Consider the following 15003-nt stretch of genomic DNA (forward strand, 5'->3'; position numbering starts at 1 on the left):
TCTTTATAGAAGCTGGCCACGGCCGCCATTTTCAGGATCTATCAAGGCTCCTGAGGGAGGCGGCAGTTCAGAGCCTGCAAAGATTGGGGAAAGTGTGGGGCCAGAGAGGCTGGATAGAAGTCCTTGGGTCACAGCCTTCCTCATCTGAAAAATAAGTGTGTGGATGGATCCAGCAGGAGCCTGACTTAGAGTGGGCCTTCCAAGAATCTCTAGTAGAGCAAATCTAACTTAACTTTTTAACTTAATTTTTTAAACTTAATATCAATCTCAAGACCTAAATATGAGTCTAGCCAGCTGCCCTGCCTGCCACCAGGTTTACTTGTAGTGGCAAATCATGTTCCCCTAGTAAGCAGGATGAAGCTGACACGAGCCATTGTTCATGAGGCAATTATTCTAAGGAGGGAAAGCAGGGGTATGGGGAACATAATATGGGAGGCTGCTGTGGGGCACACAGAGTTAATGCGCACTTTTCTCCACAAGCATACACCACAACCGCAACAGGAGCTAATTACTCTTGTTAATTACCTAGCCCTGGGTCAGATCCCAAGGCTGGTTAAAGATAATCAAAGACTAAGCTCATCAATTCTTCCTTAGAGTATTACAGAAAGTCTAAGTTTGAATGCATAAATCTTTTTCATTGGTTCTGACTACCTCTGAGATAACTTCTCTGCACAAATGAAAATAATTTTGCAGTTGAGCACAGCAACTTCCCCACTTCCTCCTTCTTGTCTTTTAAGATACCCCCTGCCCCAAATATTTCTTCTGGTATTCTTCTCTCTGCATGTAACATGATATCAGTGGGAAGTTTGGCAAAAATAAGTTAATAAATTAACAATTAATAAACTAAAAGTCTACATACAAAATGATTCCATTTATTTAACATTCTGGAAAAGACAAAACTGTACAGATGGAGGACAGATCAGTGGTTGCTGGCTGGGGAAGGATGGAAGGTCTGACCACAAACAGGCGGCATTGTGGAATTTGAGAAATGATAGAACTCTTCCGAGCATGATCGTGGTGATAGAAATACAATGCTATGCGGCCCAGGCGCTGTGGCTCACGTCTGTAATCCCAGCACTTTGGGAGGCCAAGGCGGGAGGATCACCTGAGGTCAGGAGTTCAAGACCAGTCTGGCCAAAATGGCGAAACCCTATCTCTACTAAAAATACTAAAAATAGCTGGGTGTGGTGACGCATGCCTGTAACCCCAGCTACTTGGGAGGCTGAGGCAGGAGAATCACTTGAGCCCGGGAGGCGGAGGTTGCAGTGAGCTGAGATCACACCACTGCACTCCAATCTGGGCAACAGAAAAAAAAAAAAAAGAAAGAAAAATGTTCTGCATTTGTCAAAACCCATACGCCATAAGGAGTGAATTTTGCTGTATTTTACTGTGTGAAAGCGAAAAAGAAATGTGAAAAGAGAACAAGAAAACTTATTCTCACTCTTTTGGGCAGTTTTTTTGTTGTTGTTAATTTGTCTTTATTACTAGAAATTACAAAGATATCTTTTTCTGACAAACAAAATCTTTGAAATTCTAGCAGAAGCAGGGCAGGGGCAAATATTGGCATGTTTCACTAATTTGTCCTAAATGTCCTGTATCTACCGGTTTTGAAAAGATTCAGCAGGTGTAGATTTTTTTCCCCTGGGAATGGGACTGGTGTCTACAAAAGCAGAGTGTAGCAAATGCTTAGACAATTTTCCAGTGAGATCAGTCAAGTCTTAATCTCCATGACGCCAAAATACTGGGCTGCAAAGTGGAAAGGTCAGTCAACCGCCCAGCTGTTTTGTGTCTGTGTGTCCCCCCAGTGTATGTGACTGTTCGGAGACAGGTTGCAGATCCTGTGGCCGGTGCCAGGGAGGTGCCATCATAGTTGGAAGCTTTCCCCAATAACAAATTTCTTTACACATCCACAACTCCCTTCACAGGGGCAGCTACAGCCTGTTCTTTGTCATCTAATTTCAACAGCAGTTGCTTACAAAAAAACAAATCAGTGACTTTATGATGAGTTCTAATAGGCATCTTTCTTTTCTTCTTCTTGGGGCCCGCCTAGCAACTCCTCCAAAAAGCTGACGCAACAAGGAAGGCTTTAATATCACAAAGGTCATTCATTATCACAGCCACCTAAAAACTTACAACCTTTCCAAAGTAATCACACCAGAACTGATAGACAGTTTTGCATTCATTTGTAATGTTAAGTACTTAATCAACAAGTTAAATATTCTTCAGGTTCACAAGTCTGATGACAACATCTGAATCATTTTTTCTATTGAAGGAAGAGGGTGTCTGATTAGGGTTGACAGATGCATATAAGAAAGCACATAGGTTTACCTACACACTTCTTTTTCCTGTTGGGAATATGATAATGTGATAAAATTAGATCTTAAGGTGTTTGCATGCTTATACCTCTAAAATTTTACGCATGGCTTTGTTGCAGAAGAAAAAGGATTTGGGAAAGTAGTCTTAGAGATGGATCCCTACTGCATGGGTTATCTGTCCACAGTGTGCTTGGCTTACCTGGGTGTCAGGGAGCAGTCTGTGAACCCCGAAAACTTGAGACAGGTCTCAGTTAATTTAGAAAGTTTATTTTGCCAAGGTTGAGGACGCACGCCTGTGACACAGCCTCACAAGGTCCTGACAACATGTGCCCAAGGTGGTCAGAGCACAGCTTGTTTTTATACATTTTAGAGAGACAGGTGACATCAATCAACATATGTAAAATGAACACTGGTTTGGTCTGGAAAGATGGGACAACTCAAAGCAGGGAGGGGCTTCCAGGCCACAGGTAGGTGAGAGACAAACAGTTGCATTCTTTTGAGTTTCTGATTAGCCTTTCCAAAGGAGGCCATCAGATATGCATTTATCTCAGTGAGCAGAGGGATGACTTTGAATAGAATGGGAGGCAGGTTTGCCCTAAGCAGTTCCCAGCTTGAGTTCTCCCTTTAGCTTAGTGATTTTAGGGGCCCAAGATATTTTCCTTTCACAGTTCATATCCTGGAGGTAAACCCTTAGATTCAAATTTGTAGAATCACAGACTCTCAAGTTAGCAGAGGCCTTAAGGGAGCTTTGGTTAGCTTTTCTTGAGTGCAAGGACAAGAGAACACTCAAGTTAGCTCAAGAAATTGGAGTTTCTTGCAAGAATATACTTGCGCCTGTGTCTGAAGCTGAAAAACCATGAGGAACCCAGACAGCTCTGGGGACCCGTGGCTTGATGTGTCTCTTTCAGGCCACACGGTTTCTCTATCAAGATATCTCTGCCTCTCTCTGTTCACGTGCTCCCTCCCCTCTCTCATGAAATAAACTCTTTGTTTTAGATGCATCCTAATTTCAACTTGTTCCTGGCCCATCATGACTTCTGTGGGCCCTCAGCATCAAAACCATTGCAAGCTTGCTGGTTCACACTTTCTTCGTTTTTAAAGCCGAGAAAGAAAATGTGATTGGTTCAGCTCACTTTTCCATGCTCGGCCCCATTACATGTCACTATCAGCCTGTGAATTGACTGCCCTGTGATCAGGTGTCCACCTAAACTGCTCAGTATGCAATCGGGGAACCTGTCTCAAAACAGTCTTTCTGGCAGCAGGGGTTCTGGGTGGGCAGTTCCCATCAGAAAGCAGGGCAAAGGGTGGTAAAACTGTGGGATTTTCCTGCCCTCATTTAGTAGTTAAGTCTCCTCTATAATGGGGATTGTACACTCCAGTACCTACAGCCTCAGGCAGGTGATATGAAAAGGTTGAATTGGTCCGTCAAGAGCATGCGTTGTGTGAGTGGGAAAGACTTTGGAAAACTGGAAAACACAGCCTGGTATAAAGGGGATGATATAGTTTGGATATTTTGTCCCCTCCAAATCTCATGTTGAAATTTGGTGCCTAATGTCAGAGGTGGGGCCTGGTGGGAGGTGATTGTATCCTGGGTGCAGATCCCTCTTGAATGGCTTGGTGCTGTCCTCACGGTAATGAGTGAGTTTATTATCTACTCCTTCCCATGAGATCTGATTGTTAAAAAGAACCTGGCAGCTCCCACCTCTGTCTCTTTCCTTCTCTCACACCATTTGATGTTTGCTCCCCTTTGTCTTCTGCATGAGTGGAAGCTTCATCAGGCCCTCACCAGAAGCAGATGCTGGCACCATGCTTTTGTGCAGCCTGCAGAACCATGAGCCAAATAATCCTCTTTTGTCTATGAATTGCCCAGCCTCAGGTATTACTTTACAGCAACACAAATGAACTAAGACAGGCTATAAGCAAACTAGCTGCCGTTGGTTTATTTGCAGAAAAGAGAGCTAAGTAATGTCATATATCTTATTTTTTTCAGTGGAAGCTAGAAATTTATTTTATGTAAAATCTCTCAAACTTTAATGCTGACTCAAACTTCTTTTTGTTTTTTGTTTTTTTTTTTTTTGAGACAGAATCTTATTCTGTCACCCAGGCTGGACTGCAGTGGCGTGATCTTGGTTCACTGCAATCTCCGCCTCCCAGCTTCAAGCTATTCTCATGCCTCAGCCTCCTGAGTAGCAGGGATTACAAGTACATGCCACCATGCCTGGCTAATTTTTGTATTTTTAGTAGAAATGGTGTTTCGCCATATTGGCAAGGCTGGTCTCAAACTCCTGACCTCAGGTGATCTGCCTGCCTCTGCCTCCCAAAGTGCTAGGATTACAGGAGTGAACCATCATACCCGGCCAAACTTTTTTAACATTATTGGCCAACCAAAACACTCCCTTGCCTCCTCTACCCTTCAACCAGCTAGGGGACCCTCAGCCTCCAGCCTCTCATGAATGCACAACGGAGGGAGACAACACCAGCTTTAGTGGAAGCCCATTTCATTTTCCAACAGTTCTAATGGTTTAACATTTCTTCATGTATTTGAATCTAAATCTGTCTCTCCACAGTCAGTCCCTTGTTTCATGAAGGAAAAAAATCAAAAGCCCCTTCAACCTGATAGCCACATGCATACGTGAAGATGATTCCTACAGAGGACCTACTTCTTCTCATTCCATTTCTTCCGAAGTCACTCATATGACCCATTTCCTTCAACATCCTGGTTGCCCTGCTCTGAACACATCATGGTTGGTTAATATCTTGCTGAAATTGTGGTAATTAGCATCTGTCTTAGTTCATTTGGGCTGCTATTACAAAATACATTAGGATGGGTAATTTATAAACAGAAGTTTGTTTCCTATAGTTCTGGAGCCTGGGAAGTTCAAGATTAAGGCACCAGCAGATCTGATGACTGTGAAGGGTTCTGTCTGCTTCATAGATGGTACACTTCTTCCTGTTACCTCACATGGAAGAAGGGACAGGGCAGCTCCCTACAACCTCTTTTGTAACAGCACTTCCCAAAAAGCCCCACCTACTAATACCACCACAATGGGAATTAGATTTCAATATGAATTTTGGAGGGACACATTCAGACTGTGTCAAGGTCTGAGGTCAGACTACCCACACAGAGTAATTATAGGACTTTCTCACTTGAGACTTTGTACTTCTGTTAATGCAATTTAAAATTTTATTTTAGATGATAAGTTCATAGCAGTGATTCATACCAACTTAAAGTAAACTAAAGTGCTTAAGGTGCTTTGTTTGTTTCTTTGCTTTTCACATGAACACTTATTAAACCTGATTTTCACCTTGTCCTTGTAAATTTAGGCTCTTAGGACCTGAGTAAATCCATTGCCCCTACTCAATCTCATATTGTTAGATTTCACTCACCCAGCCCATTAGTATCTTCTTTAGATCTTTCTGCTCTTTTACTGCTATCCAACATATTAACTCATCTGTGTATCATTACTACTTGTTTATTATTTATACTCTACGTTCCAAAAAGTGTACCAGCATATGAGTCTATCTGTTTTCCAGATTTCCTTCTCCTTCTTTCTTTGGCTTTTTTTGCGATTATAGTGTCAAATTTTCACTTTTACTTTCAGATGGCTTTTGATATTTCTTTTTTATTTATCTGGCCCCTGGATTCTATCTCTTTTCCTTGGGAAGTTTGAAGTCTGTATTTCTAAAGTCCGTGACATATATGTAACTGTGCTCTGTATTCTCCTTCCTGGGTGTTGCAGAGTCTAAGAAAACAAGGTCATTTTCTCCTCAGGTTTTCATCATTTCTGCATCTCCAATCAACAGTTCTTTGTTGAACAGAATTAGGTTCCCAGCAACAGTTTCCATCATTGCTCCTTCTGGCTTCTGAGAATTAAAACAGTCAGCATGATCTGTTTCCAGCTATGATGGAGCGGATGATATCAGATTAATCTCCCACTGAGAACAACTATAAAAGCTGGATAAAACACAAAGGCCAACTGTTGGAAGGCATTGGATAGCAACCAAGGCAGCCAATGCCCCAAAGAAGCCAAGATCCCAAAGACACAGGAAATGCATTCAAATGTGCCTACTATTTGGCACCCAATATACCCTCAAGGCATTGCTGACTTCCAAGTTGTGCATGTGCAGGCCTAATGTCACAGACTGTGTTCCTTGAGACAGAGATTAATGAGCACAATGTTTATTAGGAGGTACTTTTAGGATCACCCTCTATAGAAGGGAGAGGAAGAAAGCAGAATTTGTTGCAGCCTCAGCCTCTGCCAACCCCACAGGGAGTTCTGGAGCTATAGCAACCCTTCTAGCTCCAGGGTTGTTGTCCCAATCTAGAATTGTCCCAAGTTGCTGCACAGCAGCAGGTTCTTTTACCCCAAAGGCAAGAAAGCACTGGATACAGGTTGCCCTGGAAGGGTGTGAACCTTGCAGGAAGCAGTTTTGTTTTTACTTTTTTTTTTTTCAGCAGAAGCAATCCTCAAAGGGGCTGCCAATTGACAATCCCTAGCAGTTGGGGGACTAATTCCTTCATTCCTGAAGGGGGATCTAGGCATTGCATCACAGTATCTGTCACACCTACAGGGTAAAAAATTGTATTAGTGTGAGAGTTCTCCAGAGAAATAGGATCACATCTCTCATTAATAGAACTATATATGTGTGTATATGTAGATATACATCTCCTGTTGATCCTATACATAATATATATATATCTCCTATTGAGAGATATATATATATATCTTATCAATACAAACTTTTAAACAACCAGATCTCCTATTGATACAAACTTTTGAACAACCGGATCTTGTGAGAACTCATTCACTATTGCAAGGATAGCATTAAGAGGATGGTGCTAAACCATTCATAAGAAATCTACCGGCATGATCCAATCATCTCCTGTCAGACCCCACCTCTAACATTGGAGATTACATTTCAACATGAGATTTGGGCAGGGTAAGTATCTGAACTATATCAGGTACTATTTTTCCTATTGATACATATATATGTACACACACACACACACACACACACACACTATTGTTAGGATGTTCCTGTATATGAGAAGTTAAGAAATAGCACCTGATATAGTTTGGATATTTTCCCCACCCAAATCTCACATTGAATTGTAATCCCCAGTGTTGGAGATGGGGCCTGGTGGGAGGTGATTGAAACATGGGGGTGGATTTCTCATGAATGGTTTAGCACCATCCCCTTAGCACTGTCCTTGAGATAGTGAATGTGTTCTCGTGAGATCTGGTTATTTAGAAGTGTGTCTCTCATTTGCTTCTGCTTTCACCATGTGACGTGCCTGCTTCCCCTTCACCTTCCGTCATGATTGCAGGCTTCCCAAGGCCTCCCAGAAGCCAAGCAACATGCTTCCTGTAAAGTCTGCAGAACTGTGAGCCAATTAAACCTCTTTTCTTCATAAATTACCCAGTCTCAGGTATTTCTTTATAGCAATGCGAGAAGGCCTAATATTGTACCAGATGATGTCTTCAGCCTCATCACAAAGATGCACATGATTAACTACTGAAGGAGCATGGGAAGCCACAGGGCACTGAGTTCTAAAGAGACAGAGGGAGGTTACAAGATTCCAGTGCGGGGAGTGGGTGGGACCTTGTAGGCCAAGGGAGTGTTGAGCCAACCATGAAGCATACATGGAGTTCTGATAGACCCATTAAAGGAAGGTGGACGAGAACAGCCATGAAGGTATGAGAGAGAGAGAGATTTATTACAGGGATTGGCTCATGAGATTATGGAGACTAAGAAGTCCCACAACCTGCTGTTTGCAAACGAGACCCAAGAAAGCCAGTGATGTCATTCAGTCTGAATATGAAGTACTGAGACCTGGAAGGGAATGGGGCTGGGAAACAATGGCATAATACAAGTCCTGGTCCAAGTCCAAAGGCCTGAGAACCAGGAGCACTCATGTCTGAGGGTAGGAGAAGATGGATGTCGCGACCCAAACATAGACAGCAAATTGGCCCTTCCTTTGCCTTTTGTTCTCTTCCAGCCCTCAACAAATTGCATGGTGCCCCCCCCACACACACACAGAGTGGTGAGAGCCATATTCTTTACTCAGTTTACTGATTCAGATGCCAGTCTCTTCTGGAAACACACTCAGGTACATACTCAGAATTAAGGTTTTACCAGGTTTCTAGGCATCCCTTAGCCCAGACAGAATTAACCATCACATAAACCAAGCAGAAATAAGCCACATTAAAAAACTAATCATTAACTTCAATAGTTTTAGGGTCCTAAAGAGACAAAAACTAGAGTTCAGAGCCGAGCACAGTGGTTCACACCTATAATCCCAGCACTTTGAGATGTTGAGGTGGGAGGATCACTTGAGCCCAAAAGTTTGAGACCAGCTTGGGCAATATAGCAAGACTCCTGTCTCTCTACAAATATTAAAAAATTAGCCAGGCGTGATGGCAAGTACCTGTGGTCCCAGCTACTTGGGAGGCTGAAGTGGGAGGATCACATGAGCTTGGACGGTTGAGTCTGCAGTGAGCAGTGATTGCACCACTGCACTCCAGCCTGGGCAACAGAGTGAGACTGTGTCTCAGAAAAAAAAGAAAAAATTGGAGTTCATGGTGTGCCAAGAAAGAAAGTCCCTGGTGAACACCCAAACTGTCAGTTGAGACCTTGGAAAAGCTACCCCTAGGAGTAAGAAAAAAAAACTGAAATAAGTAACCAGCTTTTTATCAGATGAAGGTGATCCGCCAACACTCTACCAACCTGTTAAATCCTCTCTGAAGGAAGATAACATCATTCAAAGTCTGTATGATTTTTCATGCACAATGTCCAACATTCAATTTGCAAATTACCAGACACGGCAGGGGATGGCAAAAATGGGGAAAAGGAGGAGGTAGAAAGAGATAAAATAGAAAATAGAAACGAACTGAGGTGCTCTAGATATTAGAGTTAATTGACATGAAATTTTAAATAACTATGATCAGCAGTTCAAGGAAATAATAAGAAAGACAAAGAATTTCACCAGAGAATTGGAATCTATAAGAAATAATCAAATGGAACTCCTTGAACTAAAAAGTGCAATGACAGAAATTAAGAATTCAACAGATTTGTTCAAACATTGATAATATACAGTAGTAGGCAGGTATAGTGACTTGAAGAGAGATAAAGAAAAAATACCCAGAATAAAGCAGCACAGGAGAGGGGAAAAGTTTAGCAAACACACGGCAAACAGTAAAATTATCTGAAAAGGTGAAATTGAAGTTCTAGATGGACAGACGAGAAAATTGAGAAAAAGCAGTATTTCAAGAACTAGATCCTGAGAATTTTTCCAAACTGACAGATTTAAGAAGCTTGAATAACTCCACATTAGAGGATGCCTATAGATGTCCTTGCAGAGTCCTTCATCACCTAATAATAGCAGTCACTGAACTTTTAAGACAGCCCCCGGGGGAAGCGTTTAGGTCCATGCAAGTTATCTCATTACTTACCTCACCCCTACAAGGTAAGAAAACCATCACTGGATGAGGAAACTGAGGCTGAAGTTTAATTCCTAGTCTGAGATCTAAGAATTACACTGTATGCATACACTGGACCTGAGACTGGGACTAAACCTAGATCTGTTGGACTCCAAATCTTCTGCTATTAACCTCTTTGCTGAGTGTCTCAGGAGCAGGCATGAGGCCAGGGGAGTGTGACATTGAGGAAAGAGGGAGTAGCAGATGGGAGAAGGTTCCAGAAAGAGATATGGAGGCACATACATTAAACTCTATATTTCTTTGTTTTTTCCTGACTGCTGGTCTTATGCTCAGGAAGAAGCAACTCTTTTCCACCTTTCCCTCCCTCCTGCATGTCCTCCCACCCCTCCAGCACCCAAGATTCTGCTGTGGTCTGGTTCAGTCACATGGCGGGCTAAATAGACTTTCATGAGCTGCTGAGGAGCCCACCCTCCATTTGCAACACAGCTTCTATGGGAACATGTGTTCTGAATCCAATGGCTCACTTGCCTTCGACCTCAATACACAATTTGTTCTCAAGTTAGGATGTGCATGTGCATGAGAAGTTAAGAAATACCGCTAGACAATGTCTTAGGCCTCATCACAAAGATGCACATGATTAATGACTGAAGGAGCATAGAAAGCCACCGGGCACTGAGATCTAAAGAGACAGAGAGATTGCACGTTTTCATTGGGGAGGTGGGGTCTGTAGACCAAGGAAATGTTGGGCCAGCCATGAAGCATACACAGAGTTCTGATCAACCCACTAGAGGAAGGTGGAGAAGAACAAATGGGCAGGGAGGAGCAAGGAGTTTACTTCCACCTTTGGGAAGCTTCAGAGATGTCCTCTTCAGGCTGCAGGGCACTCTGTCTTCCTTGGTTTCTAATCAGATATTAGGGAGGGGGGCTATAATTGTGCCTGGAATTTATCAGTTTGCTTTGCTGTTGAGTGTATTGTAGAGGCTACTGGTAGCCCTCCTAGGCCTCCCTCCATGCTAGCCCTAGGAGCTTGGCTCCTTCTGCCCACTTACTGCAGCCAAGCCTCCTGTTCTGGTTAGTCTAGCTCCAGAAACATTTAGGAGGCTCAGTCAGGTGCCAGGCCCTGAGCCATGACTGAGAAGACAGAGGAGAGTAAGAGGCAGTCGTGCCTCAGAGCCTCAGGGAAGAGGGCAGAGGCACAGAAGAGGAGTGTTCTACCAGGTGGGCATTGGGGCCAGGGCACCCAGTTGAGGGGTCTGGGGAGGAAAGGAGGCTGAGACTGTAAGAGGGAAGCCAGAGTTTCAATGCTCAGGAACTGAGGAATCAGTTTTCTCGTGGCTCAGGGCCCCGTTCCTTCTCCACTTTATCTTTCTGCCTGCATGCTGAGAAGCAATACAGTGCAGTAGTTCAGAGCCGGGGTGAGGGGAAGCAGGGCTAGGCTGATTCTAGTTTCTCAACCAGAAATTTGAGCTTTGATCCCACACTTACCAGCTTGAGCCAGCCTTTTCTAAGTCCCAATTTCCTCATCTATAAAATGAAGATAACTTTACAGTCAGTTTTGCTACAGTGTAACACATGCATTCCTAAATGGGGTTAGGGTATGAAACCCAAAACCTTGGTTAGTGACACATAAAATAACAGGCACCTAATAAAAATGGTAGTATTTGTGTTTTAGTCAGTTTGAGCTGGTATAACAAAAATACCATAGACTGGGGGGCTTAAACAACAGACATTTATTTCTCACAGTTCTGGAGGCTGGGAAGTCCAAGATTAAGTTGCAGCCAATTTGGTTCCTGGTTTGCAGAAAGCCATCTTCTTGTTGTGTCCTCATATTGCAGAGAGCAGGGAGAAGAAGCAAGCTCTCTTGTGTCTTTTCTTATAAGAATGCTCATCGCCTCATAACAGCTCCACCCTCATGACCTAAGCCCCCATTAACTCCCAAAAGCCCATCTCCAAATACATCACATTTGGGATTAAAGTTTCAACATATGACTTTATGGGTCGGCAGCAGGGACACAGACATTCAGTCCATAGCATACTGTTTTACACATGTTAACTGGTTAAATACATAACTACCGCAAATAAGTATGGTGCTTTACCTTGAACAAGAGCTAAAGTTTGCTTGTGGAAGTGGCATCAGGTAAGTTGCAGCTTGTGAGTTATTATGAAGTACTGGAAGGAGGATAATCTAAAATTGGATGCAAAGAGGTAACATTGGATGTGAATGAATGCACCTCTGGGTACATGGTAACTGAGGCAGCTGATAGATGTTTAAGGCATGTACATATGTGCATTTTTTGTATCCCTATCCAGTTCTGTTCAGCTGGATGCAATCTTCTGTGATCACTTAGTTGTGTGTGTGTAGACAAAATTATACATAAGCAAATGCAACATTTGCATATGATTAAATTGTTTCCTAGTATGTCAATTGTATTGAACAAATCTTCATTTTTAAAATGAGTACCATAGCAGAACTAGCTGTACTAACTACCTCATGGGATGTCATGAGGATTAAGTGACATAATTCATGTAAGTGTTGAACCCAGGGCCTGATAAGTGGTGAATAAGTGTTGCTAGTGTAATGAATATATATCAAATCATTATATTTTAAACAAATCAAAGAATGAATCAGTGAACACAAGAATGCCTAATTGTGGAGTGGGGAGCAGTAATTTAGGAAGTGTGTGTGTGGTGGGAGGAGGAAGGCTGATGATTTATCTTGCTAAAGAGAAACTTCCTCTAGGAGTAAATGATTTCAGAGACCAGCAGCAGGCTATGCTATGCCCTGTAACCAGGAGGACAAACTACATACCCTCCTTGCACCCATTAGCATGAATATGATCACAGGGGTATGTCTGTCCCACCACTATGCAGGTCTCAAAGCCTAACACTTATTATATTTTATAGATCAGAAATTTTGGCAGGGCTCAGCTGGGTGATTCTTCTTTTCCTCATGGTATAAACAGAGGTCACTTGGTGTTATTCAGCTAGCAGGTGGGCTGGTGTGGAGGGTCCAAAATAACTTCTTTCACATGTCTGTTGCCTTGGAATGACTAGAAGGCCAAGCCCAGCCAGGACTGCCAACTGGAGCACCTACATGTCACCTCTCCAGGATAGTCCTGATTCCAAGAGCCAGGAAGTAGATGCTGCAAGTCTTCTTACCTAGCCTTGGTAGTTCTAGAAAAATAGTTCTTGAACTCTCTACCAATTAAGAAGGTTACTAAGCCCAACCTAGATTCAAGGGCAGAAGAGTTAAGCTAGGTTTCAGTGAGTGGGGAAAGCAAACACTCTGGTACCATCTTTAATCTACCACAGTGCTCTTGAAAACTCAACTCCAGCAACATCTCCAGAAAACTGAAGTGAAGCTCTCTGCTGTAGATGACCCTCCTCGGATTTTCTACTGTAAACCACGCATATTACAGCTATGATATGTGGCATACTCTGTGCTGTGTGCATTGGTTTATCAAATGCTGCCCATGGGCCGCAAGCTTCAGTGGGGTAGTGACTGTCATTTAATTTTGGATTTGTAGTGTCTTTGTATAGTCTCTGGCACATGAAAGGCCCTTAATAAATCTTAAGTAAGTGGGTGAATGAATAAACTAACAAATAAATAAAAAAGGATGACCTTCACCTCTTCTGTTGAAGGATGATGCCCCAAGAGCAGGAACCATGGCTGTGCCCCTTGTCTCCCCAACACAGAATACACTGTCTGACACTTAGTCAATACTTAATCAATGTCTGTTGAAAACCCAAACACATATGCTCACATACTCAGACTCTGCTATCCAGCTGTGGCTGAGGGTCCTCACACAGCAAAATGAGGAGAATGTTTTCAGCCACAGTCTGAGGCTGAAGCAGGTTGGGCTGAAATCAAGACCTGAGTGTTGGGACTTCTGGTTCTAGTGATGGGGTCAGGAATTAGAGCAAGTTGCCCCTGTGAACACCAAGAGAAAGGGACAAATGAAAACTGGACTGAGGGGTGGAAGCAAGGAGGAACTAGAAGTTAGCTTTCCTGCTGCTCTATCTTTTCAGTGGAGAGCACTTTCATTCACACATGCATCAGATGGGGAGGGCGACTCATTGCCAATATTTGTCAAAGTTCTCCACAAAGACCTGCCCCTTAGTATACACCAATACACACATGCATGCACACACACACACACACACACACAAAAAACAGCTTTGGGTTCAGGTCAAGTGGGAGAACTTTGGAAAGAAGGAGCCCTGCCATAGAAAATGAGTATTTACTAACGTGGGTGCTATTAGTTACCATTTGCAGTGAACCAGGTGTCGACTGTGTCACTATTTTAAGTCTAATTTAATTTAGCATTTGGACTGGATGTGTGCTATTTATAAGGAATGATACCAACTGTGGCTTTGGTCTTGGAGCAGGTGGGAGCCACTTTAGCCTGTGGAGGCCGTGGTCTGCACAGTTCCCAGTTTGGGTTCTGTAGCAGACGCCCCACCCCAGGCACTGCCTCAGACAATTACACAGGCCAAGTGCTCAGGAGCCGTCAGCCCACAGATAATAGCTCTGCAGGAGCTCATTGAAGAGAGTCTCAGACCCTGTCTTTGCTGAGGCCTCTGTGGTTAGAATGCGCAGGACAAGGAATGTGCTCGAGACCCACGGCTTTGTCCTGCCTGGTCTAACCCCTCAGGAAAGATGCGATGAAATGGTTTGTCCCGGCTGGGTGACCCCCTTCCTCACACAGGCCTTTGGTATCTTCCACTGGACACAAAGAAAGGGCCTCCACAAGTCTCCCTGAATGGGAGCAATGGCTGAGCTGAGCTCTGAGACATACCCTGGCATTCTTGGGTTTCCCACACATGCCCAGGGTGCCTATGGGGACTTTTTCCAGAACAAATTGAAGGTATACACCCTGACCGGAGAGGTGGCCACTGTGACCAGAGCCCGGCATAGCAAAGTCACAGGTCTGGCTGGAGGAGGGGCAAGGACTGTGAAATCCCAGCAGGCAGCCAGCAGTGAGCAGGCCAACAGCATCCTCAACGGAGGACGATTTCTTCAAACACAACTGCATGACAAACAAGTCAGGGTGGGGCATACAAACCAGACAGCTCTGCTGGAGGCCGAGGTAGAAGCTGAGTGGGGATAAGGGTCCGCTCCAAGCCCTCCTCAGTGACACAGCAAATCTAGGGGTTGGTGGAGAGCGCTCATCCTCACCCCCAATCTGCAGTTCCAGACCTCGGATACTGATCTGACGGACACAGCCATCTTCAAAGGGAACTCG

General features: G+C 43.6%; 3 annotated features.

The window, feature by feature from the left end:
* Positions 2122 to 2993: an enhancer, noted in NCBI's record as "OCT4-NANOG-H3K27ac-H3K4me1 hESC enhancer chr10:31954277-31955148 (GRCh37/hg19 assembly coordinates)". NCBI's record gives its function as "activates a minimal SCP1, AML or CMV promoter by ChIP-STARR-seq in naive H9 embryonic stem cells {active_cell/tissue: H9 hESC(naive)}" and the evidence as "EXISTENCE:reporter gene assay evidence [ECO:0000049][PMID:30033119]".
* Positions 2994 to 3863: an enhancer, noted in NCBI's record as "OCT4-NANOG-H3K27ac-H3K4me1 hESC enhancer chr10:31955149-31956018 (GRCh37/hg19 assembly coordinates)". NCBI's record gives its function as "activates a minimal SCP1, AML or CMV promoter by ChIP-STARR-seq in naive H9 embryonic stem cells {active_cell/tissue: H9 hESC(naive)}" and the evidence as "EXISTENCE:reporter gene assay evidence [ECO:0000049][PMID:30033119]".
* Positions 14132 to 14683: an enhancer, noted in NCBI's record as "NANOG-H3K27ac-H3K4me1 hESC enhancer chr10:31966287-31966838 (GRCh37/hg19 assembly coordinates)". NCBI's record gives its function as "activates a minimal SCP1, AML or CMV promoter by ChIP-STARR-seq in naive H9 embryonic stem cells {active_cell/tissue: H9 hESC(naive)}" and the evidence as "EXISTENCE:reporter gene assay evidence [ECO:0000049][PMID:30033119]".

The sequence above is a fragment of the Homo sapiens genome, chromosome 10, assembly GCF_000001405.40.
Source record: "Homo sapiens chromosome 10, GRCh38.p14 Primary Assembly".
Classification (NCBI taxonomy): Eukaryota; Metazoa; Chordata; class Mammalia; order Primates; family Hominidae; genus Homo; species Homo sapiens.